The sequence below is a fragment of the Homo sapiens genome, chromosome 3 (genome assembly GCF_000001405.40).
Source record: "Homo sapiens chromosome 3, GRCh38.p14 Primary Assembly".
Classification (NCBI taxonomy): Eukaryota; Metazoa; Chordata; class Mammalia; order Primates; family Hominidae; genus Homo; species Homo sapiens.
Genome location: NC_000003.12, coordinates 87717569 through 87744527, shown reverse-complemented (window position 1 = coordinate 87744527; position 26959 = coordinate 87717569). Strand labels below are relative to the sequence as shown.

At 38.1% G+C, this 26959-nt stretch overlaps 1 long non-coding RNA gene and 1 pseudogene across 1 annotated transcript in view, besides 2 other annotated features; both read left to right on the top strand.

Annotated features, from left to right (window-relative positions):
* Positions 1879–1985, top strand: RNU6-873P (RNA, U6 small nuclear 873, pseudogene; annotated as a pseudogene).
* Positions 3511–26959, top strand: part of LOC105377198 (uncharacterized) — a 29720-nt gene continuing 6271 nt past the window's right edge. The window contains exons 1-2 of the long non-coding RNA XR_941033.3: positions 3511–3900; positions 12778–13086. This is a non-coding gene — a long non-coding RNA (uncharacterized LOC105377198). The remainder of the gene's footprint in view (positions 3901–12777; positions 13087–26959) is intronic.
* Positions 16106–17097: an enhancer, noted in NCBI's record as "OCT4-NANOG-H3K27ac-H3K4me1 hESC enhancer chr3:87776581-87777572 (GRCh37/hg19 assembly coordinates)". NCBI's record gives its function as "activates a minimal SCP1, AML or CMV promoter by ChIP-STARR-seq in naive and primed H9 embryonic stem cells {active_cell/tissue: H9 hESC(naive and primed)}" and the evidence as "EXISTENCE:reporter gene assay evidence [ECO:0000049][PMID:30033119]".
* Positions 17098–18089: an enhancer, noted in NCBI's record as "NANOG-H3K27ac-H3K4me1 hESC enhancer chr3:87775589-87776580 (GRCh37/hg19 assembly coordinates)". NCBI's record gives its function as "activates a minimal SCP1, AML or CMV promoter by ChIP-STARR-seq in primed H9 embryonic stem cells {active_cell/tissue: H9 hESC(primed)}" and the evidence as "EXISTENCE:reporter gene assay evidence [ECO:0000049][PMID:30033119]".

Genomic DNA, 26959 nt, shown 5'->3' with positions numbered 1-26959 from the left:
TCTATATGATTGCCAAGACCATGGTAGTGACAGAAACAAACTATGGTGACTTGTATCAGATCATGCTGGCCGGTTATGAAAATATGAACAATCCTACACACATTAGTTTAATTTCACAAATTTGTACCACTTTTTCTAAGTGAATGACTTCCATTGTAGGTAAAAATTCCCACATAATACTTGTGAATAATGGGTCAGTTATCTCCCCAGGAAGTTCCCCTAAGGAATTGAGAGTGACCATTTTGAGTAGATTTCCGCAGTCATCACTTACAGGTTACATCAATTAAAGATTGAGTTCCCTTAAAACACTTGAAAGCCTCATAACCACTCCTAAGTTGCACATCACCATAGTTTCTGTAAGGACTGGGCAGAGACAAAGTACCATGCAATTTGGTTTCTTCCATCTTTGGATAATGGCCCAACTTTTGGCAAGAGTCCCAAGTCTGGCATGTGTTGGTTGGCCTCTGCCTCAAGAACAGAATTCTTTCCTTTATGTTCAGCTTGTGATCATGGATGTGTCATGAATTAGTAAGGTGGTGAATCCATGTAGTGATTGTGGCAACCTGGACAATGCAGTCTTGATCAGCAGTGTAATTCCAGCTGGTTTCATCAGAGAATGTACACTTGGCATGGCCATCTACAAAAATGGCTGCAATAGTTCAATTAGCTGCCTGAATTTGTTTTCAAACTACATGGCACCAAAGAAATGTGTCTTTAATCTGACAGTCCATAGTTTTTCAAGTGGCTGGTTAAACCTCTAGCCTTTTGCAACAGGTCAAAAGTCAGTAAAAGTATAGCAAGGTTTATCAAGGGCAGTATTTGACTGATCCTGGGAATGGCTTCAGATCTGCTCACTGAGTTGACCAACCACATCTCTTTTGAGTTTGGAACAGGTGGCAGTGAGGTTGAACACCTGCAGAAGCCTTGTGCACACCATCAGCTTTCAGTTTAGCAGTGCCAGTAAATCAGGTCAGGTATTTTGGGAAATCTCAGCTACATGAGGACTCATTGGGCAGTTGAGTAAACAGCTTTTCTTCTGGCAGTGGAATGGGGAATAAAGTATCCCCTTTGCCTTTTGCCACGATTGTACATTTCCTGAGGCTTCCCCAGCCATGTGGAACTGTGAGTCAATTAAACCTATTTCCTTTGTAAATTACCCAGACTCAGATACTCTTTATGGCAGTGGGAAAATGGACTGATACAGAGTCTATGGCTAAAAAGACAAGGTGTACTCAACAAGCTTCTCTTGTCAAGTGGAAATGGCATATTTATCCTGCTCCCAGTAGAATTTTGGCTTTCCATGAGAAAGTGGCAACTGTACCATAGTTTCAGGAGGGGCTAAAGTTAATAATGGCATAAAAGTACCATCCCAAGAGTGGATATAGATTCTTGAAAAGAAAGTGTTGTTTACAATTTCAAGAATCCCCCATGTGGGACCTATATTAGTCAGGAGATACTAATTGACAATGTCCCTCACAGGGTCTCCCCACAATCTGGTCTAATTCCTACTTCATTCTGAAGAGCTGAGTCTAATTCTTATTCTTGGAGAAACTGCCTTGAGGCAATTTGACCAATTTTTCTGGTTCTGCGAGGCCAGCATTGGCTCCATAGAGCATCAGAGATATAGCTATAAGCATGGGTGTGGGAAAGATGACCAGAAGTATTGACAAATATTGTATGAGAGAGCTGTGGGAGATGGAGCCTTCCTCTAGTATTTCCAATAGACTTATTGGTATGGGTAAGAGAAATGGTGATCAAATCATCATCAGAACCCTTTCAGGAGGATAGAAAACCAACCAGTTTGGAGTTACAACAGAGCATTTTCTTTCACAGGGAAGACTCACAGGGCAATTCTGAAAGGCAAAATATTCATATATCATGCTCACTTTGGCAGCACATGTACTAAAACTGGAACAATATTGAGAAGATTAACATGGCTCCTGTGCAAGGATGACACAAAAATTCATGAAGCATTCCATATTTTTACTGCGACAGGATCAAATCTGGACATATCAGTATTAATCTTGAATGTAAATGGGCTACATGCCCAAATTAAAAGGCACAGAGTGGCAAGCTGGATAAAGAAGCAAGACCTAATAGTATGCTGTTTTCAAGAAACCATCTCGTATGCAATGACACCCATAAGCTCACAGTAAAGAGATGGAGAAAAATCTACCAAGCAATTTGAAAACAAAACACAGCAGGAGTTGCTATTCTGATTTCAGGCAAAATAGAATTTAAACCAACAAAGATTAAAAAAAGACAAAGATGGGCATTACTTAATGGTAAAGGGTTCAGTTATTTCACTGCAGATTATGCTCTCAAGGTTCATCCATGTTGTGGCATCTGTCAGAATTTTCTTCCTTCTTAAGGCTGAATAATATGTCATTGTATGAATGGACCACATTTTGCATATCCATCTATCCATCCACCCACCCATCCATCCATCCATCAGTGAGCATTTGGGCTGCTTCCAAGTTTTAGCTGTTGTGAATAATGTTGATTTGCAGCATTTTAAATAGTAGAAGTTATAGAAGGGATGAGAGAATTTTGATTCACTGGCCCTCTCTTCCATGGACATTCTAGGCTCAGAAAATTTGGTTACTAATAGGCAAAAGCTGAGAAAACACTTTTAAGTGTGTCTTGAGATGCCTGTTGGCTTCTCACCATTTTACTGAACCTGTGATTTAAAATGGCCTCTTCTACCTGCTGATGCTAACAGATGCTCAAAAAGTAGAATAGAGCAAATTCACCTATTTTTTCATGGCTGAGATTCAAGCTGTGTATTTTTAAGCACAAGCACAGGCAGATGCACCCTTGCTACAAGATAAACCAGAATTCTTCATGGCCAGGTAGCTTGGACCTCATTTAAAGGTACCTACAGTAAGTCAAATACCAAAGGGACTTTCTCCTAGGAGTTGTACTCTACAAGGTGGTTCTGGAGGACAGGATTATAGGGGGGCTCTGCTGCTTATGTTATACTTTACCTATAGAAACCTGTGCAATTTCAGAAACAGTGGCCTGCCAGGGGTGGGCCTTCTGGGATCAGTGAACTCTACCAGGGCACTTATATCAAGGATCACTTGGAATTCCTTGGGAAGGACAGTAGGGAGAAAATTTTCAGGGATGCAGACCTGAAGTTACCTGTGCTTCTCCTCTGTGTAGTGAAAACAGTGAAGTTCATAGGAGGATGTCTGTGAGTAGTCCAGCTTAGATAATTTGACTTTGGTGGATTGGAAAGGCAAAACCAGAAATAATTAGTGGTAGTAAGGAAGGAAACCACCCCCATATTGCCCTATGCCCAATTTCTGCCTCAAAGAAAAAGTAGGAGTTAAAGAAAAGACAAGAAATAAAATCAGTCAGACAGCCCTGTGCTGCATTCCAAGCCCAGTAGCTGAAGATCTAACCTAACTGGTTATGTTAATAGATTCCAGACAGCCTGGCACTGCATTCCAGGCCTGGTAACTGAAGATCAACCCCCTTAGAGTTGTGAGCCTTTAAAAGGGACAGGAATTGTGCACTTGGGGAGCTTGGCTCTTGAGACAGGAGTCTTGCTGATGCTCCTGGCTGAATAAACCCCTTCCTTCTTTAACTCGGTGTCTGAGGGTTTTTTTCTGAGGCTCTTCATGCTACATTTCTTGGTTCTCTGACTGGGAAGTGAGGTGATTGGCGGATGGTTAAGGCAGCTCCTTAGGTGGCTTAAGCTTGCCCTGTGGAACAACCCTGAGGGGGACTCTGACCAGCCCGAGCAATGTGGATCCTGAGAGGACTCCCGGGTAGGCATTTGCCCTGGTGGGATGCCTCGCCAGAGCAGTGTGTGGCAGGCCCCCGTGGAGGATCAACACAGTGGCTGAACACCAGGAAGGAACTGGCACTTGGAGTCCGGACATCTAAAACGTGGTAAGACTGGTCTTGGGAACTTGCCCAGTCCATTTGAGTGGAAGCATGACCTGATCACCCACGATGTGCCAGTGCCAGCACTTTGGTTTTTGTTTTTGACTTGACTTGGATTGCTTGATAGTTTGGTTTTGGTTTTGACCTGGCTTGGATTTCTTGATACTCGGATTCTGGTTTTGATTCTGGTTTGGTGTAACTGTAAAAGTGTGTGTGTGTGTGTGGCATTTTTACCCGTTCTTTGTTTTGTGGTGTGCGTGTGGTGTGAGTGTGGTGTTTTGTCTCGAGGAAACATGGGTGAGGCACAAAGAAAGCCTACCCCACTAGGAACTATGTTGAAAAATTTCAAAAACGGATTTAAGGGCTATGGAGTTACTATGACACCAGGAAAACTTAGAACTTTATGTAAAATAGACTGGCCAGCATTAGAGGTGGGTTGACCATCAGAAGAAAGCCTGGACAGGTCCCTTGTTTCAAAGGTATGGCACAAGGTAACCTGTAAAGCCAGGGCACCCAGACCAGTTTCCGTACATAGATGCTTGGTTACAGATGGTTTTAGATCCCTCCACAGTGGTTGAAAGAACTGCAGCATAAGTGGCTGAGAGAGGCAGAGAGGAGAGAGAGAGGCAGAGAGGAGAGAGAGAGGCAAAGAGGAGAGAGAGGGAGACAGAGAGAAAGAGAGAGATAGGCAGAGGGGAGAGAGAGACAGAGGGGAGAGAGAGAGAGACAGAGGGGAGAGAGAGACAGAGGGGAGAGAGAGAGGCAAAGAGGAGAGAGAGACAGAGAGAGAGAGAGAGGCAGAGGGTAGAGAGAGGCAGAGGGGAGAGAGAGAGAGACAGGGGAGAGAGAGAGGCAAAGAGGAGAGAGAGACAGAGAGAGAGAGAGGCAGAAGGTAGAGAGAGGCAGAGGGGAGAGAGAGAGAGACACAGGAGAGAGAGAGAGAGACAGAAAGGAGAGAGAGACAGAGGAGAGAGAGGCAGAGAGAGAGAGAGAGGCAGAGAGAAGAGAAAGAGAGGCAGAGAGAGAGAGAGAGGCAGAGAGGGGCACAGAGGCAGAGAGGGGCCAAATGAGGCCACTGACAACCTGTAGCCTTCTATCAGAAATCCTTAACTCAGTAATCCATGGATGGCCCAAATACATTCAACCTGTAGCGGCAACTGCTTTGCTAACAGAAGATAGTAGAAAAATAACTTTTGGAGGAAACCTCACTTTGAGCACACCTCACTAGTTCAGTTCAGAACTACCCTAAATCAAAAAAGCAAAAAAGTAGCTTACTAACTCAAAAATCTTAAAGTATGGGGCTATTCTTTTAGAAAAAAAAGAAAATCCCCTTAACCCAGCAGGTTTCCTAACAAGGGATTTAAATCTTAATTACCATAAAAAGACCTGGCCAGACCTAGAAGGAACTCCCTTCAGGACAGGACGATCGATGTTTCCTCCCAGGTAATTGAAGAAAAAAAAAAGGCCATCTATACCAATTCTAAGTTAATTTAGACAAAACAAGGTCTTATTAATAGCAAAGGATAATTAAAATCCCAAACTTACAAGGTTTTCAACAAAAGTAAATTTTGCTAAAAGTTAACAGTGTAACATGTATTATAGTAACTTCTAATCTTGTGGCCTTAAGACAGTCTAGTCCACAGACATAAAAGAAGTTTGCTTTGGAAAAGAGTGGTTATCATCTTCGAAAAAAAAAAGAGGGGGAGAAAATGGGGGGCAGAATTTATGTAAAAAGAGTGGTATATGGTAAATTCTTGTCCTGAAATAAATTAACTGGTTGTTTAAAGAAAGAAACGTTTGTAATAAGTCAGAAAGTTGAGATGTGTCGAAGAATTGTCTGTGAAAGTTGTGAAAGAGAAAAATGTTATAAAGAAAGAATTTATGCAAGAAATGTTGTATAATTTAAAAGTTACTAGAATGTTAATTGGAAAGAAAATTCTGTGTGTAAACATTGGTTAAAGTTAAAGAGGTATCATCCAGTTTTTCTGTAAACTGGACATTAAAATAAAAGCATAACAGGTTTTTCTTAAAGCACCAACCTGCTCTTTAGCAAAAATTATATAAGGTTAAAAAGAGTCTATAAAATCTTATCTTATGGTCAAACATTAAAAATTGAGTAAATATGTATACAAAGTTTTATTAAAACTAAGTTTAACATTAATAGCACATTAATGTAAAGGTGAAATTTAACTTATCTGGTATAAAAATCATACAAGAAGCATTATTAAATATAAAATGGTGTTTGGCTTTCTTTGGTCTAAAATCTAATAAAAATAGGTGCTAATGGAAATTTCTCAGTAAGAAGGCACCAAAGACTATAAGGTCCGCTGCTGATGTCCCCACATTTAAAACAAAAAGTCAATTTCTTAGAAATTATATACTTGGTTTATCTTCCACTTTCCTTTCCCTTAAAACTAAAAGTCTTTTAGCACATGTACCACACCTAGAATTTCCAGTAAACCAGCACCAGCCTGAAGATCACCTTCTTATCAAAGTGTAGAAAGAAGAAAAACTCAAGCCGGCCTAGGAAGGACCCTACCTTGTGCTGCTAACCACCGAGACTGCTGTTCCTACAGTGGAAAAGGGATGGACTCATCACATCTGAGTCAAAGTGCCACACCCTCCAGAGTCATGGGCCACAGTCCCAGGGGAAAATCCTACCAAACTAAAGCTAAGAAAAATTTAACCCTTTCATCTATTCTATTACTCTTTCTTCTTTCTTCGTTCTATTGCTGACCATCTGGTTATTAACACAACCAAGTCAATTTTGCCTCAAACTATTGCATTTAATGCTTGCCTTGTTATACCCTGTGGGGACTTGCCAAGTCAGAGACAGCTTTCTACTTCAGAAAAGTACTTCTGTCCCTCCTGACTCTCCTCAGACTGGGCATTAGTAAACTAGGACCATTTAATCTGGGGAGATTTTGATAAAGACCCCAGTGCCAACCAGGAGTCTTGCCCCCCGATGTAGAGCTTTCATGCCATAGTTGGTCCAACATTCTATGGACCACTAAAGAGCAAGGATGGACTGCCCCAACCTGTTTTTATAATTTCCTAAAACCATACATTCATTTTACTAGAGGATGATAGAAGTTAAAGACTTAAAACAAACTTTAGCAATTAAGACAGGATACCAAGATGCAAATGCCTGGTTAAAATGGATCAAATATTCCATCTGCACGTTAAACAAAAGCAATTGTTATGCTTGTGCACATGGCAGGCCAGAGGCCCAGATTGTCCCCCTTCCATTAAGATGGTCTTCTAGTTGGCCAGGCATAGGCTGCATGGTAGCTCTTTTCCAGGATTCTATAGCCTGGAGTAATAAGTCACCCCAAGCTCTCTCTGCTATATCCCAAAGTCCGGCACCCTGTGGGTCAGCCCCCGAGGGCCATCCAGCCTCCCTCTTCCGATACTAAGTTCACTTCGTGTCTCTCATGACAGGGAGGAAACTTAGCATTCCTTGGAGACCTGAAAGGATGCCATGAGCTTAAAAATTTTCAAGAGCTTATCAGTCAGTCAGCCTTTGTTCATCCCCAAGCAGATGTGTGGTGGTATTTTGGTGGACCTTTACTGGGCACTCTGCCGAATAACTGGAGTGGCACTTGTACTTTAGTCCAACTGGCTATCTCTTTCACCCTGGCATTTCATCAACCAGAGGGAGGAAAAATAAGACTTCATAAAGTGAGAGAAGCCCTTTATGGGTCTTTCGACTCTCACGTCCATTTAGACACAATTGGAGTCCCACGGGGAATACCGGATCAATTTAAAGCTTGAAATCAAATAGCTACAGGATTTGAGTCAATATTTTGGTAGGTGTCAGTTAATAAAAATGTAAATTGGATAAACTACATCTGTAACAACCAACAGCAAAGAGCTTTTCATGAGTTAAAAGAAAAACTCATGTTGGCCCCAGCCCTGAGGCTACCTGACCTGACAAAACCCTTTACACCCTATGTGTCAGAAAGAAGAAAAATGGCAGTTGGAGTTTTAACCCACACTGTGGGGCCCTGGCCAAGGCCAGTGGCCTATCTCTCAAAACAACTAGACGTGGTTTCCAAAGGCTGGCCCCCATGTCTAAGGGCCCTGGCAGCAATGACCCCATTAGCACAAGAAGCAGATAAGCTAACACTTGGGCAAAACCTAAACATAAAGTCCCCCTATGCTGTGGTGACTTTAATAAATACCAAAAGACATCATTAGCTAACGAATGCCAGACTAACTGGATACCAAAGCTTGCTCTGTGAAAATCCCTGCGTAACCATTGAAGTTTGCAATACCCTAAACCCCGCCACCTTGCTCCCGGTATCAGAGAGCCCAGTTGAACATAACTGTATAGAGGTATTGGACTCATTTTAGTCTGGTGGGCCCAACCTCCAAGACCATCCTTAAACATCAGTAGACTAGGAGCTGTATGTGGATGGGAGCAGCTTTGCCAACCCTTGCAAAATGACTCTGAAGAAGATGACAAGCCCTGCTCCAGTCACACCCGGAAGCTGACTGGTCCATGCATGGCCGAAGCATGAGGAAACTCATCGCGGGACTCATTTTCCTTAAAATTTGGACTCGTATAGTAAGGACTTCAACTGACCTCCCTCAGATTGAGGACTGTTCCCAGTGTATACATCAAGTCACTGAGGTGGGACAAAAAGTTGCTACAGTCCTATTATTTTATGATTATTATAAGGGTACCGGGACTCTAAAAAAAATTGTTTGTATAATGCTATTCTATGCAAGGTATGTTGCCCAAGCAATGACCAACCTGATGTGTGTTATGACCCATCTGAGCCTCCCATGACCACAGTTTTTGAAATAAGATTAAGGACTGAGGACTCGTAGAGGCTCATAAATGATATGAGTAAAGTGTTAGCCAAAACAAAAGAAAAAGGGGTGCCCAAACAAGTCATCTTAAAATTTGATGCCTGTGCTGTCATTAATAGTAATAAGTTAGAAATAGGATGTGCTTCTCTTAATTAGGAAAGAGGCTATATGGCAGAAAATAAGCACATTTGTCATGAATTAAGACTGTGTAGAAATGAATGTGGATGCTGGTCTTGTGTCATTTAGGCTACTTAGATAAAAAAGTAAAAAGGATCCTGTCACCTTCAGAAAGGGAAAAGTGGCCCTTCTTGTACCAGTGGTCAGTGTAACCCCTTAGAATGAGTAATAACCAACCCCCTTGATCCTCGCTGGAAAAAAAGGGAATGTGTAACCCTAGGAATCGATAGGGCTGGACTGAATCCTCGAGTAAATATCATGGTTTGAGAAGTTTATAAATGCTCTCCTGAGCCAGTATTTCAAACCTTCTATGATAAACTGAATGTGCCAGTACCAGAAATTCCAGGAAAAACAAGAAATTTGTTTTTGCAGTTAGCCGAGCATGTAGCCCAGTCTCTAAATGTCACTTCAAGTTATGTTTGTGGAGGAACTGTAATGGAAGGTCAATGGCCATGGGAAGCCTGAGAATTAGTGCCTATAGACCCAGTTCTTGATGAATTCCCAGCCCAAAAGAATCACCCTGATCATTTCTGTGTTCTAAAAGTCTCAATTATTGGACACTATTGTATAGCTAGAGAAGGAAAAGAATTCACTCATTCTGTAGGACGACTTAGTTGCCTGGGACAAAAACTGTATAATGGTACCACAAAAACAGTTACACGGTGGAGTTCAAACCACACAGACAAAAATCCATTCAATAAATTTCCAAAGTTGCAGACCGTTTGGGCCCACCCAGAATCCCACTGGGACTGAACGGCCCCCACTGGGCTATACTGGATATGTGGACGTAGAGCCTACACTAAGCTGCCTGATGAGTGGACAGGAAGTTGTGTTACTGGCACTATTAAACCATCTTTCTTCCTACTGCCCATAAAAACAGGTGAACTCCTGGGCTTCCCTCTCTATGCTTCCTGCGAAAAGTGAAACATAGCCATAGGTAATTGAAAAGATGATGAATGACCTCCTGAAAAAATTATACAATACTATGGGCCTGCCACTTGGGCACAAGATGGCTCATGGGGATACCGGACCCCCAATTACATGCTCAACCGAATCATATTGTGGCAAGCTGTCTTGGAGATCGTTGGTAAAGCCTTGACTGTTCTGGCCTGGCAAGAAACTCAGATGAGAAATGCTATCTATCAAAATAGATTAACTCTCGACTACTTGCTAGCAACTGAAGGAGAAGTCTGTGGAAAATTTAACCTTACCAATTGCTGCCTGCAGGTAGATGACCAGGGGCAAGTAGTCGAAGATCTAGTTAAAGACTTCATGAAACTGGCACATGTGCCTGTACAAGTATGACACGGATTTGACCCTGAGGCCTTGTTCGAAAATGTTTCCCAGTGCTAGGAGGATTTAAAAGTCTTATAATAGGAATTATAGTAGTAATAGGAACCTGCTTACTGATCCCTTGTTTACTACCTGTACTCATTCAAATAGGTGAAAGGTTTCAACACTACTCTAGTTCACCAGAATGCTTCAGCACAAGTGTACTACATGAATCACTATCGATCTGTCATACAGGAAGACGCAGGTAGTGAGGATACAGATGAGAACTCCCACTAATAAAATAAGTGAGAGTCTCAAAGTGGGGAATAAGGAAGGAGACCACCCCCCATATTGCCCTATGCTCAATTTCTGCCTCAAAGAAAAAGTAGGAGTTAAAGAAAAGACAAGAAATAAAATCAGTCAGACAGCCCTGCGCTGCATTTCAAGCCTGGTAGCTGAAGATCTAACCTAACCGGTTATGTTAATAGAGTCCAGACAACCTGGCACTGCATTCCAGGCCTGGTAACTGAAGATCAAACTGCTTAGAGTTGTGAGTCCTTAAAAGGGACAGGAATTGTGCACTCAGAGAGCTCGGCTCTTGAGACAGGAGTCTTGCTGATGCTCCTAGCCGAATAAACTCTGTCCTTCTTTAACTCGGTTACTGAGGGGTTTTGTCTGCGGCTCTTCCTGCTCCAGTATATTTAACATATTTATTAGGAACCAAAGCCAAGAATCCTAGTGATGCTAAATGGCCCTCAGTGGTGTTTGGTTTTGCATTGGGACAGGAAATGTTCCTCATGTCTAGCGATTATTAATTTTATTATTTATATCAGGTTTACATGTTTAATGTTACATCACTTTTTGAGATCATTTTTACTAAATCTAAATATTTTTTGTTGTTTTCTGTAAACATTGTATACAAAATCAATGTCACACTTGGCAAAAATGAACAAATTTTATTATTTAAATAACTTCAAACTGATATTCTCTATAGGCATTTTCTTATCACTGTTAAACACTATATGTTGCTGTTTATTCAGTTTTCTTTCAGTTCTAATAAATGCACCTGCTCCTTTTTGTATGCAAGTGACACATTTAATGTTCTTTTAATCAAGAATGATTAAGTGAAATTGCAGGATTTTCATCTGAACTGTTCAAGTTCTGAATTTGAGGTGATACTTTTTTTTTCTCATTTTCATTATTTTGATTAAAAAATAAATCTTCATTAAATTAATCATTTGTAGTATCCTGTATGCTAAACTTAGGTTGGTCATGTTTAAGTAAAATCTAGTTTCTTTCTTTTTTTTCACTTAAATAAAAATAAACAAGCTACCATTCTAAAGAGTTTTTTTATTGTTTTCAACTTCTTTGGCTCTTCACGTTTATGTATACTATGATGTAAACGTGAAGTTACTTTCAATCATCTAAAAGACTGTAATTGCTTTCCCAGTATAAGAAATTAAATACATTTTCACCAAAGTATAGTAATGTAAAAATAACTAAAACTTATTTTCCAAAAAGTTTTATCTTGAAATTAAAATGCAAAATATAACTTCTAAATAATAATTTCAAAAATTAATTCAAATAATTGTATTAAACTGAACATTTTAATTTAATATTCTCAAACATTTAGTTAAATCCTATTAAACATTTAATAAAATAATGTTCTTTTACATACTACATGAAAGTGAAGTATTCATATGATAAGTCTAGACCTAGTAATGAGAATTGTGTAATATAGTAAATTTGTCATGTCTACCTTCTATGACTGTTAGGGTTTATGTACTAATGGGAAATTTTTTGCTCTGTGAGAATGTATTGTGTTCATGCTGACAGGAAGGAATTGACTAGGTAATTATATCGGTTTTTCTCCTATTTAAGCACCTCTGCCATTCATATCTTCCTCCTTCTCAAGCTGTGTTTGTGTCAGATAGGGAAGCTATAGAATTCACAGACTTTCCTGGCGACTGGATGCAATCATCTTTTGTTTTGGAGGACATAGGCAAGAAATGTTTCAAAGCTTTCTCTTGGGGCCTGAACAATTGTTAGGCGTAAGAGTTGATGCTGATGTTTAGGGTTATAGATTCGGCTATCAGCACTGAGTGTTGAATTCTGAGAGTCAGAACCCATATGTTTTTTAATAAATGATATTTATGATATGTGAGACTCTTAAAAACTTATGACCCTGACCAAGGATTTCCTTTTGCCTAGGTCTATGGGCAACAATAGGGAAAATGTCAATTTTATTTTTTCTAGTATATAAGTGAATAAATTGATCTATTCATTTTATCATTCTATTTTTTTAATTGTTCAATATTACCTGTACCATGGAGAACATAGTCACACTTATAAAGGCTTTATTTTCAGAGAAATAGTTGAGATTCATTTCAAAGAGTGTGAAGTTAAGCAGAATTTGATGATAAAATCTGATTTTTCCCTCCTCATTTCCATTTCAAAAATAAAATCCTGCAAATTTTGGCTAATGTAAAATATTTTAAATATACTGTATGACGTTCAATTAAGTTACTGTATTCAATTTAGTTGAATAAACGTTCAATTCAATTTTTAAAATGAGTTAAAAATATTTCAGAATGTGTTTTTTTTTTTCCTTGATAGTGATTCTCCAAGGGCAAATGAATTTTGACCAGGAAGACAGTGAAGAAATTTCATAAAAGTGAAATACTAATTGGAAGCTCCTATCGGCATTGGTTGATCTGACAAGTTGTGTGTATAGAAACTAGCCTATATGGAGACACGAATGTCAAAAGAAGTTTTACCGATGATAGAAATATGAGAGGATCATTATGTATTCTTCAAGAAAAAGAAATATGGCAAAGGATAGTAAAGGTAATACTGCCAAAAATATCCAGATTGTATTGAAGAAAATTGTGAAAAAAAGGACCAGAGTCAAAGTTATTTTTCTAGGTAAGTACACTTGTTAAAACATAATCATGGCCGGGCATGGTAGCTCACGCCTGTAATCCCAGCACTTTGGGAGGCCGAGGCAGGCAGGTCACAAGGTCAGGAGATCGAGACCATCCTGGCTAACATGGTGAAACCCCATTGCTACTAAAAATAAAAAAATTAGCCAGGTGTGGTGACATGCACCTGTAGTCCCAGCTACTCAGGAGGCTGAGGCGGGAGAATTGCTTGAACCCAGGAGGTGGAGGTTGCAGTGAGCTGAGATTGTGCCACTGCACTCCAGCCTGAGTGACAGAATGATACTCCATCTCAAACAAAACAAAATAAAACATAGTCATATTGGCCAGGTGCAGTGTTTCACACCTATAATCCCAGCACTTTGGGAGGCCCAGGTGAGTGGATCACCTGAGGTCATGAGTTCGAGACCAGTCTGGACAACATGGTGAATACTAAAAATACAAAAATTAGCTGGGCATGGTGGCAGGTGCCTGTAATCCCAGCTACTCAAGAGGCTGAGGCAGGAGAATCGCTTGAACCCGGGAGGTGGAGGTTGCAGTAAGCTGAGATTGTGCCACTGCACTCCAGCCTGGGTGAAAGGGCAAGACTTCATCTCAAAAAAACAAACAAACAAAGAAACCAAATAAAACTATAATTATATAAATGGATGAGCCCACCAACCAATAATGCAAATAAAATGCAAAGCTAAATTTATTGCTTACTTAGGTAAACAATAGTTATGAGAGTCCAGCAAAGTCTTCTCAAGCAAAGCAGATAATTGATCTTACACAGGACTTTGGGGGATGCATGGTGTGGAGGGAATGGTAAATTTTCAAAGGTAGGAGTGGGCTAATGCCAGATTTAGAAATGTGATACCTCAGAAGAGAATGTTGTTAATTGGCTGCTTTCAGATTCAGGTTTATTGGAGTATGACTGTTGCTGATTTATTAAATACATTTAAGATGTGTTCTTCTGGTTATTTGTGATTCTAGAAAAAGACTAATTTTTCTATGATGAAGGAAATGAAAATATTTCATTCCAAAATATAGTTCTTTGACATATTTTGAGATGGTTATTCAGAGAACCAGCATACAGAGGTAATCCTGCAGAGCTGTCTTTTGTGAGGGATGTTTGCATCTGAAGAGAATCTGGGCCAGGTGCAGTGGCTCACGCCTGTAATCCCAGCACTCTGGGAGGCTGAGGCGGGCAGATCACAAGGTCAAGAGATTGAGACTAGCCTGGACAACATGGTGAAACCCCATTTCTACCGAAAATACAAAAATTAGCTGGGCATGGTGGTGTGTGCCTGTAATCCCAGCTACTCGGGAGGCTGAGGTAGGAGAATCACTTGAACCTGGGAGGCAGAGGTTGCAGTGAGCCGAGATCGCGCCATTGCACTCCAGCCTGGGTGGCAAGAGCGAAGCTCCATCTCAAAAAAAAAAAAAAAAAAAAAAAAAAAAAAAAAAAAAAAAGAGAATATGGCATTGATGCAATTGGGTTTTCTCTGAGACTCTCCCTTGTCCAGATTTAGGAAAGATTAATTGAAAGACTGGCACCTTAAAGGTCTGAAATAAATATTTACCATCTCTTCTCTCTGAAGGCTGCTACTTGTGAGGTTTCATCTATTTAAGAAGACTCCTTTGCTAGCCATGCCTCCTCGTTTCTCTCTCTTATAACCTGTTTTGTTACTATTACTATAACCTGACTTACTTCCATAACCTGGTTTTGGCCAAGATCCAAGCCCCTATTCTTTCTATAACCTCAAGGTGGTATACACGCTTCTGTACTCCATTGGGGGATGGAGTAATCACTCTGAGGTTCTTTCTATGCATAATAATTAATTTGTATGTCATTTCTCCTATTAATCTGCCTTTTGTGAGATTTTTTTTTTTTCAGTGAAACTTCAGAGGATGAAGAGAAAGCTTTCCCTTGGCCGCTAGAGTAGCCATATTAACAAATAATCACCAGAACCAGTCTTAAATCTATGTCATTATTATTTTAATAGAAATAACAACTGGCTGGTCACAGTGGCTCACACCTGTAGTCTCAGCACTTTGGGTGGCTGAGACAGGAGGATTGTTTGAGTTTAGGAGTTCAAGACCAGGGGTAACATGGCAGGAACATATCACTACAAAACATAAAAACAAACAAACAAACAAACAAAAAAACTAGCCAGGCATGGTGGCACACACTTGCTGTCCTAGCTTCTTAGGAGGCTGAGGCAGGAGGATCATTGAGCCCCGGAGTTCAAGGTTATGGTGAGCCGTAATCATGCCACAGCACTCCAACCTGGGACAGTGAGACCTTGTCGTTTTTTTTTAAAAAAAAGAAAGAAAAAAATAACAACTTATCAGTGACTTACAGAACACTATGGGTTAACTAACTGATTCAGGATAAGGAGTTTTGCATGAAGATGCATTCAAAATATTTTATAACAGATAACAAAGTTTTAACTTTTTGATTAAGGTTGAGTAAACAAAGTAAAAAAAATCTACATATCTTAGGACTAGAGGAGAAGAGGCTATGGAGAAGGAATTAAGAAATACTTTCCTTGTTCATGGGAAATAAGAGAGTTTATTACTTTTTCTAATGCACGAAGAATTTTTTTTTTTTAATCACAAAGAAGTGAGTTTCTGAAGATATAATTGATTTTCCTTTTGGAACCAAAAACTTTAAGGCTGTTCTATATGAAAAAATAAGCAGCTTTGAGAAGTGTAAATTAAAGATATCATTAATTCAAAAACCACAAGAAAGGGATCTTTCTTGCTCCTACGTCTTAAGGGCCTTTTTAAAGAAATGTTATGATAAGATTGATTTGATTTCAGTTTGAGCATATATCCAGTGATGTACCATAATTTATATACTGAAGATAGAAATCTGTGTTTCCTTTTTAAGCCTGTCTTTATTCTGATTGCAGAAGTGATTTTTTCTATTTAATTCTATCTTCATCTTATTGGTGGCTTTTTATTACTATGTGATATTCTAAAGTAATTTATATTTTTATCAGTATTTAACCATTTATTAATTTATTTAAACAACCTGGTGTTGATGAAAAGACTTAAACTCCATGAAACACTTAAAGATTATTTATTCTGAGCCAAATATGAGTGACCAATGGCCCATGACACAGATCCCAACAGGTCCTGAGAACATGCGCCCAAGGCAGTTGGGCGACAGCTTGGTTTTACACATTTTAGGGAGACATAAGGCATCAATTAATACATGTAAGATGTACATGGGTTTTGTCTGGAAAGGTGGGACAACTGGAAGCGGGGGTTACCAGGTCATAGGTGGATTCAAAGATTTTCTGAATGATAATTGGTTGAAAGAGTTACTATCTAAAGACCTGGAATCAATAGAGAGGAATGTCTGAATTAAGATAAGGAGTTGTGGAAACCAAGGTTTTATCATGCAGATGAAGCCGCCAGGTAGCAGGCTTCAGAGAGAATAGCTTGTAAATGTTTCCTATCAGACTTAAAGAGTCTGTTCTATCAGTCTTAAGGTTCCTGTTTTAATGTTAATGCTGGTCAGCCGTTTCTAAATTCCAAAGGGAGGAGGGCATAATAATGCATGTTCGACCCCTACTTCCCATCATGGCCTCAACTAATTTTTCAGGTTAACTTTGGAATGCTCTTGGCTAAGGGGAGGGTTCTTTAGTTGGTTGAGGGATTTATAATTCTATTTTGGTTTACACTGGTGAAGTAGGTCACTATATTTTGCAAGAATTTATTATTTATTTTGATTTGGGAAATTTGAGCAGACAATTTAGACATTTTTTTCTAGGATGCAAATAAGATAAAATGTTTTGGCATTTTCTCCCTAAGCCTCCAAAAGGTTTTCATATGTAAGATAGTCTACAATTTGTTAGCTTATATTTCTATAAATATAATGAGTTCTTTATTCATAAAATTATTTGGTATATTAGAAATTGATCTAACAATATTCCCCCATGGCAGCTCTCATGTGTTGGAGTCACCCGCCTGTAGCTCTCTCAGACTGGAATCACACACTAGGATCCTCTGTTGGTTTGGAGTCTCAGGGGTGGCCTCATTCTCATGGCTCCATCAGCATTGCACTAGTGGGGTCTTTCTGTGGTAGCTCTGCTCTCATGGTGGCTATGCACCCAAGGCTTCTGGTGCCTCTATCCTTGGAAATGTAGGTGAAGGTAGCTACATCCCTGTGGCTAATGTACTCTGTGTGCCATCAGAGAAGTGGCCACTGATGTTGCTGCTGTATGTGGGCCAGTTGGAGCAAAACCTGGGGTAGGTGAGTAGTGCTGTGTCAAAATGTGGGGATCAGAGTCTTGAGACAGCATTGGGTAGTGTGTGCTAAAGTCCCTCAAGTGCCTCTGGGCCCTCTTTTGAAATCATTTTGTCCCTTAAACCCTGACTTCCTGTGCTTGTGATGGAAGGGGCCACCCTGATAATCTCCAAAATGCCCTCAGGGTCATTCTTCCATTATCTCAATGATAAATACATGTTCATTCTTCCATTATCTCAATGAGAAACACCTCTTCACCATGGATGCTGCCATCCCTCACTTGAAAACCCCACCTGGGGTTTAAGGACTGCCCCACTCCCACACACCATGAATGATTCCTACTTTCACCATTGTGGGGCTTGAGTACTAGCCCACCTGGACCATCTTTGCCCTTTCCTTTGAGACCGAGCACATAGTCCAGGGTCTTGGGGATTGCCCAACATAATTCTCTACCTTGGGCACCTGAGCACACTTCCTGGGGATCAGAGTTTGTGTCTAAACTCCTACCACTAACACCTCAGCTGTAAGAGCCACCTATGGGCCTGAAGACTGGGCTGCCCAGCCGATCACAGCTACTGCCAATGTTAATGCACACTGCTTGAGACCAAGAGAATCATCTCACCATTGCTACTGCCATCACCCATCACCCAGAGGCCTGACAACCCTCCCAGCCACCTGATCCACCACTGCCACTATTGGCATCTGAGCAAACCACCTAGAGGGCCAAGAATCAACTCACCAATAACTGCCAACACAAGTCGTAGCATGCACTTTCCTGGGGCACAAAGGTAGGCATGGTCAGTCCACCAATGCTCCCACTGGGTTCTAAAGACTGGCCAACCTGCAATCCTAGTCTCTTAGCACAATTTCACCACAGTTTCTGCTAATTACCATAGCCTCACCCACCCAGGAAATAGTAGATATCATTAAAGCTTTTTATAGCCAAAGAAATTATACAGAGACTACACTACTGCATGCACCCAGAATCAAAGCCAAAGTACCCTATCCAACCAAAACCATAGATACATCTGCAGGAAAATGTTCTCCCCTATAAAAGGAAGTTCAAAAATAGGAGGAAGTGACTGTTACACCAGATAAACAGATATCTTCTAAATACACAGCAATCATGAAAAAGCAAGGAAATATGACACCTCCAAAGGAACACAATAAATCTCTAGTAATAGATCAAAATCAAAAAGAAATTTTTGAAATCTCAGCTAAATAATTCAAAATGTTAATTTTAAAGAAGCTCAGTGAGATACAATCAAATTCAAAAACAAAAAATCAGAAAAATGATTCAGGATATAAATGAGAAACTTACCAAAAGGATAGATTTTTTTTTAAAGAACCAAATAGAAGTTCTAGAACTGGAGAAGTCATTAAAGGAAATACAAAATACATTTGACAATTTCAACAATACACGAGATCAGGCAGAAGGAATATTCTCAGGTCTTTTCAAATTATCTAGTAAGACAAAAATAAATAAAAACAAAAAAGAATGACTTTTGGGATGACATAAAGTGACTGAACTTATGAATTATTGGTATACTGCAGGGCAAAAAAACAAAGAAATTATTAGAAAACCTATTTAACATAATAATAAATAAAAACTACCCAACTTTAGCAAGAGATTTGCTCATTCATATACAAGAGGCTCAACGATCCCCAGGAAGATACAACACCAAAAGGTTTTCTCCACAGCACATTATAATCAGATTATCTAAAATCAATGTTAAACAACAAATACTAAAAACAGTAAGAGAAAGCATTTAGTCCCCTATAAAGAAAACCCCATCAGACTAACAGTGGATTTCTCAGCTGAAACCTTAAAGACCAGAAGATAATGGGATAATATACTTAGAGTGCCAGAAGAAGAAAACTGCCACCCCAGTACATTATAGTTAGCAAAATTTTCCTTCATAAATGATGAAGAAATAAAGTAATTTCTAGGCAAACAGAGGCTGTGAGAATTTGTTACCATGGGACCAGTCCTACAAGAAATCAAGGCAGTCCTAAACCTGAAAGTGAAAGGACAATATTTACAATAAGGAAAAAACACATGAAATTATAAAACTCACCAGTAAAGCAATTATACAAAGGAGAATGAGAAAGGACTCAAATGGTACCATTACAGAAATCCACCAAACCACAATGACAAACTATAAGAGAAAAAGAGAGAAACAAAGAATATATACAGCAACCAGAAAACAACAATGTGACAGGAACAAAGCCTGACATATCAACAATAACCTTAAGTACAAATGGATTAAATTCTCCTTTTAAGAGATATAGAATGAGTAAATGGATGTTAAAAAATATGATTGAAGTATATGCTGCTAATGAGAAACTCATCTGACCAGTAAAGACACATATAAACTGAAAATAAAGGGAGGAAAAAAATATTCTATGCAAACAGAAATGAAAAGTGAGCAGAAGTAGCTATATTTGTATCAGATAAAACACACTTTAAGTCAAGAACAGTAAAAATGACAAAGAAGGTCAATTATATAATGATAAATTGATTAATCTAAGAAAAGGATATAAGAATTCTAAATATATATGTGCCTAACACCAGAGCACTTAGATTCATAAAGCATTTATTGCTATATCTCAATTAAGAGATTGACTGCAATACCATAATAGTGAGAGAATTCAACATCCTACTCTCAGCATTAGATAGACCCTCTAGAAAGAAAATCAGAAAAGAAACATTGGGTTTAAATTGGAGTTTAGACCAAATGATCCTAACAGACACTTATAGAACACTGTATCCAACAACTGTAGTATATACATTCTTTTAATCAGCAATTGAAACCATCTCCAGGACAGAACACATGTTAGGCCACAAAACAAGTTTCAAATATATATATATTTAAATGAAATAATATAGGCTGGGTGTGGTGGCTCATGCCTGTAATCCCAGCACTCTGGGAGGCTGAGGTGGGTGGATCACAATGTCAGGAGTTTGAGACCAGCCTGACCAGCATGGTAAAACCCCGTCTCTACTAAAAATACAAAAATTAGCCGGGGATGGTGGTGTGCACCTGTAATCCCAGCTACACAGAAGGCTGAGGCAGGAGAATGGCTTGAACCCAGGAGGTGGAGGTTGCAGTGAGCTGAGATCACACCACTGCACTCCAGCCTGGGTGACAGAGTGAAACTCTGTCTCAAAAAATAAACTAAACTGAACTAAAATAAAATAATAATAAATAATATAAAGTATCTTCTCAGTCCACAATAAAATTAAACTAGAAATTGGAATCAAGAGAAACTCAGAAAATGATATAAATACAAGGAAATTAAACAACAAAATCTTGAATGATTATTGGGTCAAAAAAATTAAGTTGCAGATTTAAGAATTTCTTGAAAAAAGTGAAAATGAATACACAACATACCAAAAATCTGTGGGATACAGCAAAAGCAGTGCTAAGAGAGAAGGTTATAGCAATAAGTGTCTATACCAGAAAAGTAGAAAGTTTACAAATCAACAATCTAACAGTGTATCTCAAGGAACTAGAAAAGCAAGAATAGACCAAAACCAAAATTAGCAGCAGCAAAAAATCACGAAGATTCGAGCAGAGCTAAATGAAATAGAGACAAAAATTAAAAGGGTCAACTAAACAGAAAGCTTGTTCTTTGAAACGATAAACAAAATTGATAAATCACTAGCCAAGAATAGAAGAGAGAAGACACAAATAACTAAAATCAGAAATGAAAAAGGAGATATTACAACTAATATCACAGAAATACCAATGTTTGTGAGAGATTATTATGAACAACTATATGCTGAAAACTGGAGAAATTGGATAATGGATAAATTTCTGGAAATATAAAACCTGCCAAGATTAAGTCAGGAAAAACCAAAACCCTAAATATACCAATAACAAGTATCAAGATCGAAACAGTAATAAAAATCCTCCTATGAAAGAAAAGCCTAGGACTGGATGGATGCATAGCCAAATTCTAGCAAAGATACAAAGAACTAACAATAATCCTCCTGAAACTATTCAAAAAAATTGAAGAGGAGAGAATTCTTCCTAACCCATTCTGTCAGCATTATTACCCTGATACCAAAACCAAGGATACAACAACAACAGCAACAAAAACTACAGGCTGATTACCCTGATAAACATAGATGCAAACATCTTCAACAAAATACTAAAAAACAGCATTCCAGCATATTAAAAAGACAATACATCACCATCAGGTGGGATTTATACCAGGGATGGTTCAACATATGCAAATCAATAAATGTGATACATCACATTAACATAATGAGAGACAAAAACCATATGATCATCTCAATAGATGGGGAAAAAGCATTTGATAAAATTCAACATCCTTTCACGTTCAAAACTCTCAATAAAGTAGGCACATAAGGAACATAACTAACAGTAATAAAGACCATATATGGAAAACCCATAGCAAATGTCATACTGAATGGGAAAAAGTTGAAAGCCTTTTCTGTCAGAACTAGAACAAGACAAGAATACCCATTTTCACCACTCCAATTTAACATAGTACTAAAAGTCTTAGGCAGAGCTATCAGGAAAAAGAAAGCATAAAAACGTATTCAAGGTCGGGCGTGGTGGCTCACACCTGTAATCCCAGCACTTTGGGAGGCCAAGGCGGGCAGATCACGAGGTCAGGAGATCGAGACCATCCTGGCTAACATGGTGAAACCCTGTCTCTACTTAAAATACAAAAATTAGCAGGGCATGGTGGCGGGCGCTTGTGGTTCCAGCTACTCGGGAGGCTGAGGCAGGAGAATGGCGTGAACCCGGGAGGCGGAGCTTGCAGTAAGCCAAGATCATGCCCCTGCACTCCAGCCTGGTGACAGAGCAAGACTCCATCTCAAACAAACAAACAAACAAAAAATTATTCAAACTGGAAAAGAAGTCAAATTGTTCCTCTTTGCTGATAATATGTTCTTATGTCTAGTAAAACAGATTTGATAAATAAAGTCAGTAATGTTGCAGGATACAATATCAACATACAAAAATCAGTAGTGTTTCTATACACCATTAATGATCTAGCCAAGAAAGAAATTCAAGAATGCAGTCTCATTTATAATACCTACCTAAAAAAATAAAATATTTAGGAATAAATTTAACCAAAGAGGTAAAAGATCTCTGCAAGGAAAATTACAAAACACTGATGAAAAAAATTGAAGAGAATACAAACAAATGAAAAAAATCCCATACTTCTGAATTAGAAGAATTAGTATTGTTAAAATGACTATACTGACCAAAGCTATTTACAGATCAAATGCAATCCCTATTAAAATACCAATGTCATTTTCCACAGAATTGGAAAATTATAATCCTAAGATTCATATGGAACCAGAAAAGAGCCAAATAGCCAAAGCAATCATAAACAAAAAGAGCGAAGCTGTAGGCATTATATTACCTGACTTCAAATTATATTACAAAGCTATGGTAAACAGCACACCTGGTTCTGGTATAGAAATAGACACACAGATGAATGGAACAGAACAGAGAGACCAGAAATAAAGCCACATATCCACAGCTAACTGATCTTTGACAAGGTTAAGAAGAACATAGACAGGGAAAGGACAACCTTTTCAATGAATAGTGCTGGGAAAATTGGATTGGCACAAGCAGAAAAATGAAACTGGACCTAAATCTCTCACCATGTACAATAATCAACTCAAGTTCTATTAAAGAATTAAATGTATTTATCAAATCTGTTTTACTAGACGTAAGAACACATTATCAGCAAAGAGGAACAATTTGACTTCTTTTCCAGTTTGAATAATTTTTTGTTTGTTTGTTTGAGATGGAGTCTTGCTCTGTCACCAGGCTGGAGTGCAGGGGCATGATCTTGGCTTACTGCAAGCTCTGCCTCCCGGGTTCACACCATTCTCCTGCCTCAGCCTCCCGAGTAGCTGGGACCACAAGCGCCCGCCACCATGCCCAGCTAATTTTTGTATTTTTAGTAGAGATGGGGTTTCACCATGTTAGCCAGGATGGTGAAAATATAAAAATCCTAGAAGAAAATTTAGGAAAAATTCTTCCAGATATTTGTCTAGGCAAATAATTCTTGACTAAGACATCAGAAGTATAAGCAAGAAAAACAAAAATAGACAAATGTGATTTAATTAAACTAAAAAGCATCTGCACAGCAAAAGAAATATTCAACTAAGTGAACAGACAACCTGCAAATGGGAGAAAATATTCACAAACTATAAATCTGACAGGATGTTTTCTTTTTTTTCAGATTGTTCACTGTTGGAGTGTATAAATGCTACTAATTTTGTACATTTTGTGTGTGTGTGTTCTGCATCTTCACTGAACTCATTTATCAGCTCTAACAGTTCTTTGATGGAATCTTTAGGTTAGAATCCTGTTGTCTGAGAACCAGAATAATTTGACTTCTTCCTTTCCAATTTCTTTCTCTTCCCTAATTGTTTTGGCTAGAACTTCCAGTACTATGATGAATAAAAGTGGAGAACGTGAACGTCCTTGCCATCTTCTAGATCTCAGATAAAAAGCTTTCAGTTTTTCCCAATTCGGCATGATGATACCTGTGGGCTTATCATATATGGCCTTTATTGTTTTGAGATATATTCCTTCTAGAGCCAGTTTGTTGGGAGTCTTTATCACAAAGAGATATTAAATTTTATTGAATTATTTTCAGCATCAATTGAAATGACTTTATGGCTTTTATTGCTGGCTCTGTTAATATGATGTAAAAAGTTTATTTTTTGCATATGTTGAATCATTCTTGAATCCCATTTGATCATAATAATTAGACTTTTTAATATGCTGTTGAATTTGGTTTGCTAGTATTTTGTTGAGGACTTTTGCATCTGTTTTTATCAGGAATATTGGCTTGCAGTTTTTTGTTTGCTTTTTGTGTGTTTATGTCTTGTTTTGGTGTCAGGGTACTGCTGGCCTCATAGAATATATTTGGAAGTATTCTCTCTTCTTCAATTTTTTGAAATAGTTTGAGTAGAATTGGTATTAGTATAAACATAAGAATAGAAAAGTTTGGTAAAAGTCCTCAGTGATGCTGTAAGATCCTGGGCTTTTCTTTGATGGAAGACACAATTACTGATAAATCTCATTACTCATTATTATCTGCTCAGGTTTTCTATTTCTTCATAATTGAATCTTGGCAGGTTGCATATGTCCAAAAATTTATCCATTTCATCTAGGTTTCCCAATTCGTTTGTGTATAGCTATTCTTAATTGTCTCATTATTCTTTGTATTTCTGTGGTATCTGTTCTAATGCTTCCTTTTTTGCTCTGATTGTATTTATTTGGGTCTTCTGTCCTTTTTTCTTTAGTCTAACTTAAGATTTGTTAATTTTGTTTGTTTATTTAGAAAACAGACTTTTTGTTTTTTGATTTTTTTTTTTAGTTTCAATTTCATTTACTTTTGATCTGATCTCGTTATTTCTTTCCTTCTACTAATTTGGGGTTTGTTCTGTTTATGCTTTTCTACTTACTAGAGGTGCAACATTAGGTATTTATTTGAAGTCTTTCTACTTTTTTGATGTAGGCATTTAAACTTTCCTTCTGGAACTGTTTTCACTGTATTCCATAAGTTTCGCTATGTTGTATATCTATTTATGTTTGTCTCAAGAAATTTTAAAATTTATTTTAATTTCTTCATTGGCCCATTTGTTATTCAGGAACATGTTGTTTATTATCCATGAATTTGTACAGTTTTTAAAGTTGTTTCTGACATTGATTTCTTGATTTATTTCATTGTGATCAGAAAAGATACTTGCTATAATTTCAGTTTTTAAAAAATGTGTTGACTTTTTTGTGCTGTAATATGTAGTCTATCCTAGAAAATGTTTTATGTGCAGTTGAGAAAAATATGTGTATTCTGCAGCTGTTCAACAGAATGTTCTGTTAATGTCTGTTAAGTTCATTTGGTCTAAAGTTCAGTTTAACTCTAACGTTTTTTGTTGACTTTCTGTCTGGATGATCTTCCCATTGTTGGAAGAGGAGTGTTGAAGTTCCCTATTATTATTGTACTGGATCAATTTCTCCCTTAATTTTATTAATATTTGTTTTATACACTTGGGTGCTCCATTGTTGGGTGCCTGTGTATTTATAATTATAAATTATGCACGTATGTATGTATCCTCTTATATTATGTTTAAGAGGGTATCTCTTGCTTTTGATCCCCTTATTATTGTAGAATGGACTTTTAAAAACCATTATTGTGTTAAACTGCATTTTATCTAAGTATGGCTACTCTTGCTCTATTCTGGTTACCACTTGCATGAATATATTTTTCCTTCTCTTCACTTACAGTTTGTACTTGTCTTTATAGGTAAAGTGAGTTTCTTGTAGACAGAATATTGTTGGGTCTTAGTTTTTATCCATTCAGCCACTTTATGTCTGTTAATTGGAATATTTCATCCATTTATATTCAAGCTTATTATTGATAGATAAGGATTTACTACTGCCATATTGTTTCTTATTTTCTGTTTGTTGTATAGATCCTTTTTTTCCTCTTTTCCTCTCTTACTGTCTTCCTTTGTGGTTAAGTGATTTTCTCTAGTAGTATGTTTTGATCTTGTGTTATTTATTTTTAGTGCACCTATTATAGGTTTTTGCTTTGTGGTTACCATGAGGGTTGCAAATAATCTTAAAACAGATTATTTTAAACTGATTATGACTTAACTAATTGCAAAGAAAAGTAACAAAAACAAACTCTACACTTTAACACAAATCCTCCCTCCCATATTTTGACTTTTTGAAGGTTATGATGCTACAATTTACACCTTTTAATATTGTTTATCTATTAATCAATTTTTGTAGTTATAATCATTTATAATAGTTTTGTCTTTTAATCTTCTTACTTAAGATATAAGTGGTTTTCTTACCTTAATTATAGTATTAGAGTATTCTGAATTGCCTTTTTTCAATTTTATTTTGCTTTTAGCTAGGGATAGGGTCTCATTCTGTTACCCAGGGTAGAGTACAATGGTGTGATTGTGGCTTACTGCAGCTTCAACCTCCTGGGCTCAAGTGATCCTCTTACGTCAGCCTTCCAAGTAGCTGGGACTACAGGCTTACACCACTATGCCTGGCCAATTTTTGTATTTTTTGTTGCTTTCACCATATTGCTCTGGCTGGTCTTGAACTCCTAAGCTCAAGCAATCCTTTGATCTCAGCCTCCCAAAGTGCTGGAATTATAAGCATGAGCTGCCGTGCCTGCCTGTATTTTTTTCCCCCAGTTAATTTAATATGGTCAGATGTTTTCTTGTTACACAGTAACCTCCATTTCCTTCAGTTTGAAAACCTAGTTTAGCATTTCTGGTAAGATAGATCTGGTGTTGGTGAATTCTTTCAGCGTTTGTTTGTCTGAGAATGACTATCTTTCCTTCATGTTTGAAGGATAGCTTTTTTAGTACACTGTTTTTGGCTGGTAGTTTTTCCTTCAGCACTTTAAATACAGCATCCCACTCTCTCCTGGCCTGCGGAGCTTCTGCTGAGAAATCTGCAGAAAGCTGTACTGGGGCTCTATTGAATGTAATATATTTATCTTTTCTTGCTGTTTTGAGTATTTATTCTTTTTGTCCTTGATTTTTGCTAATTTGATTATGATGTGCCATAGGAATTTCCTGTTCAGG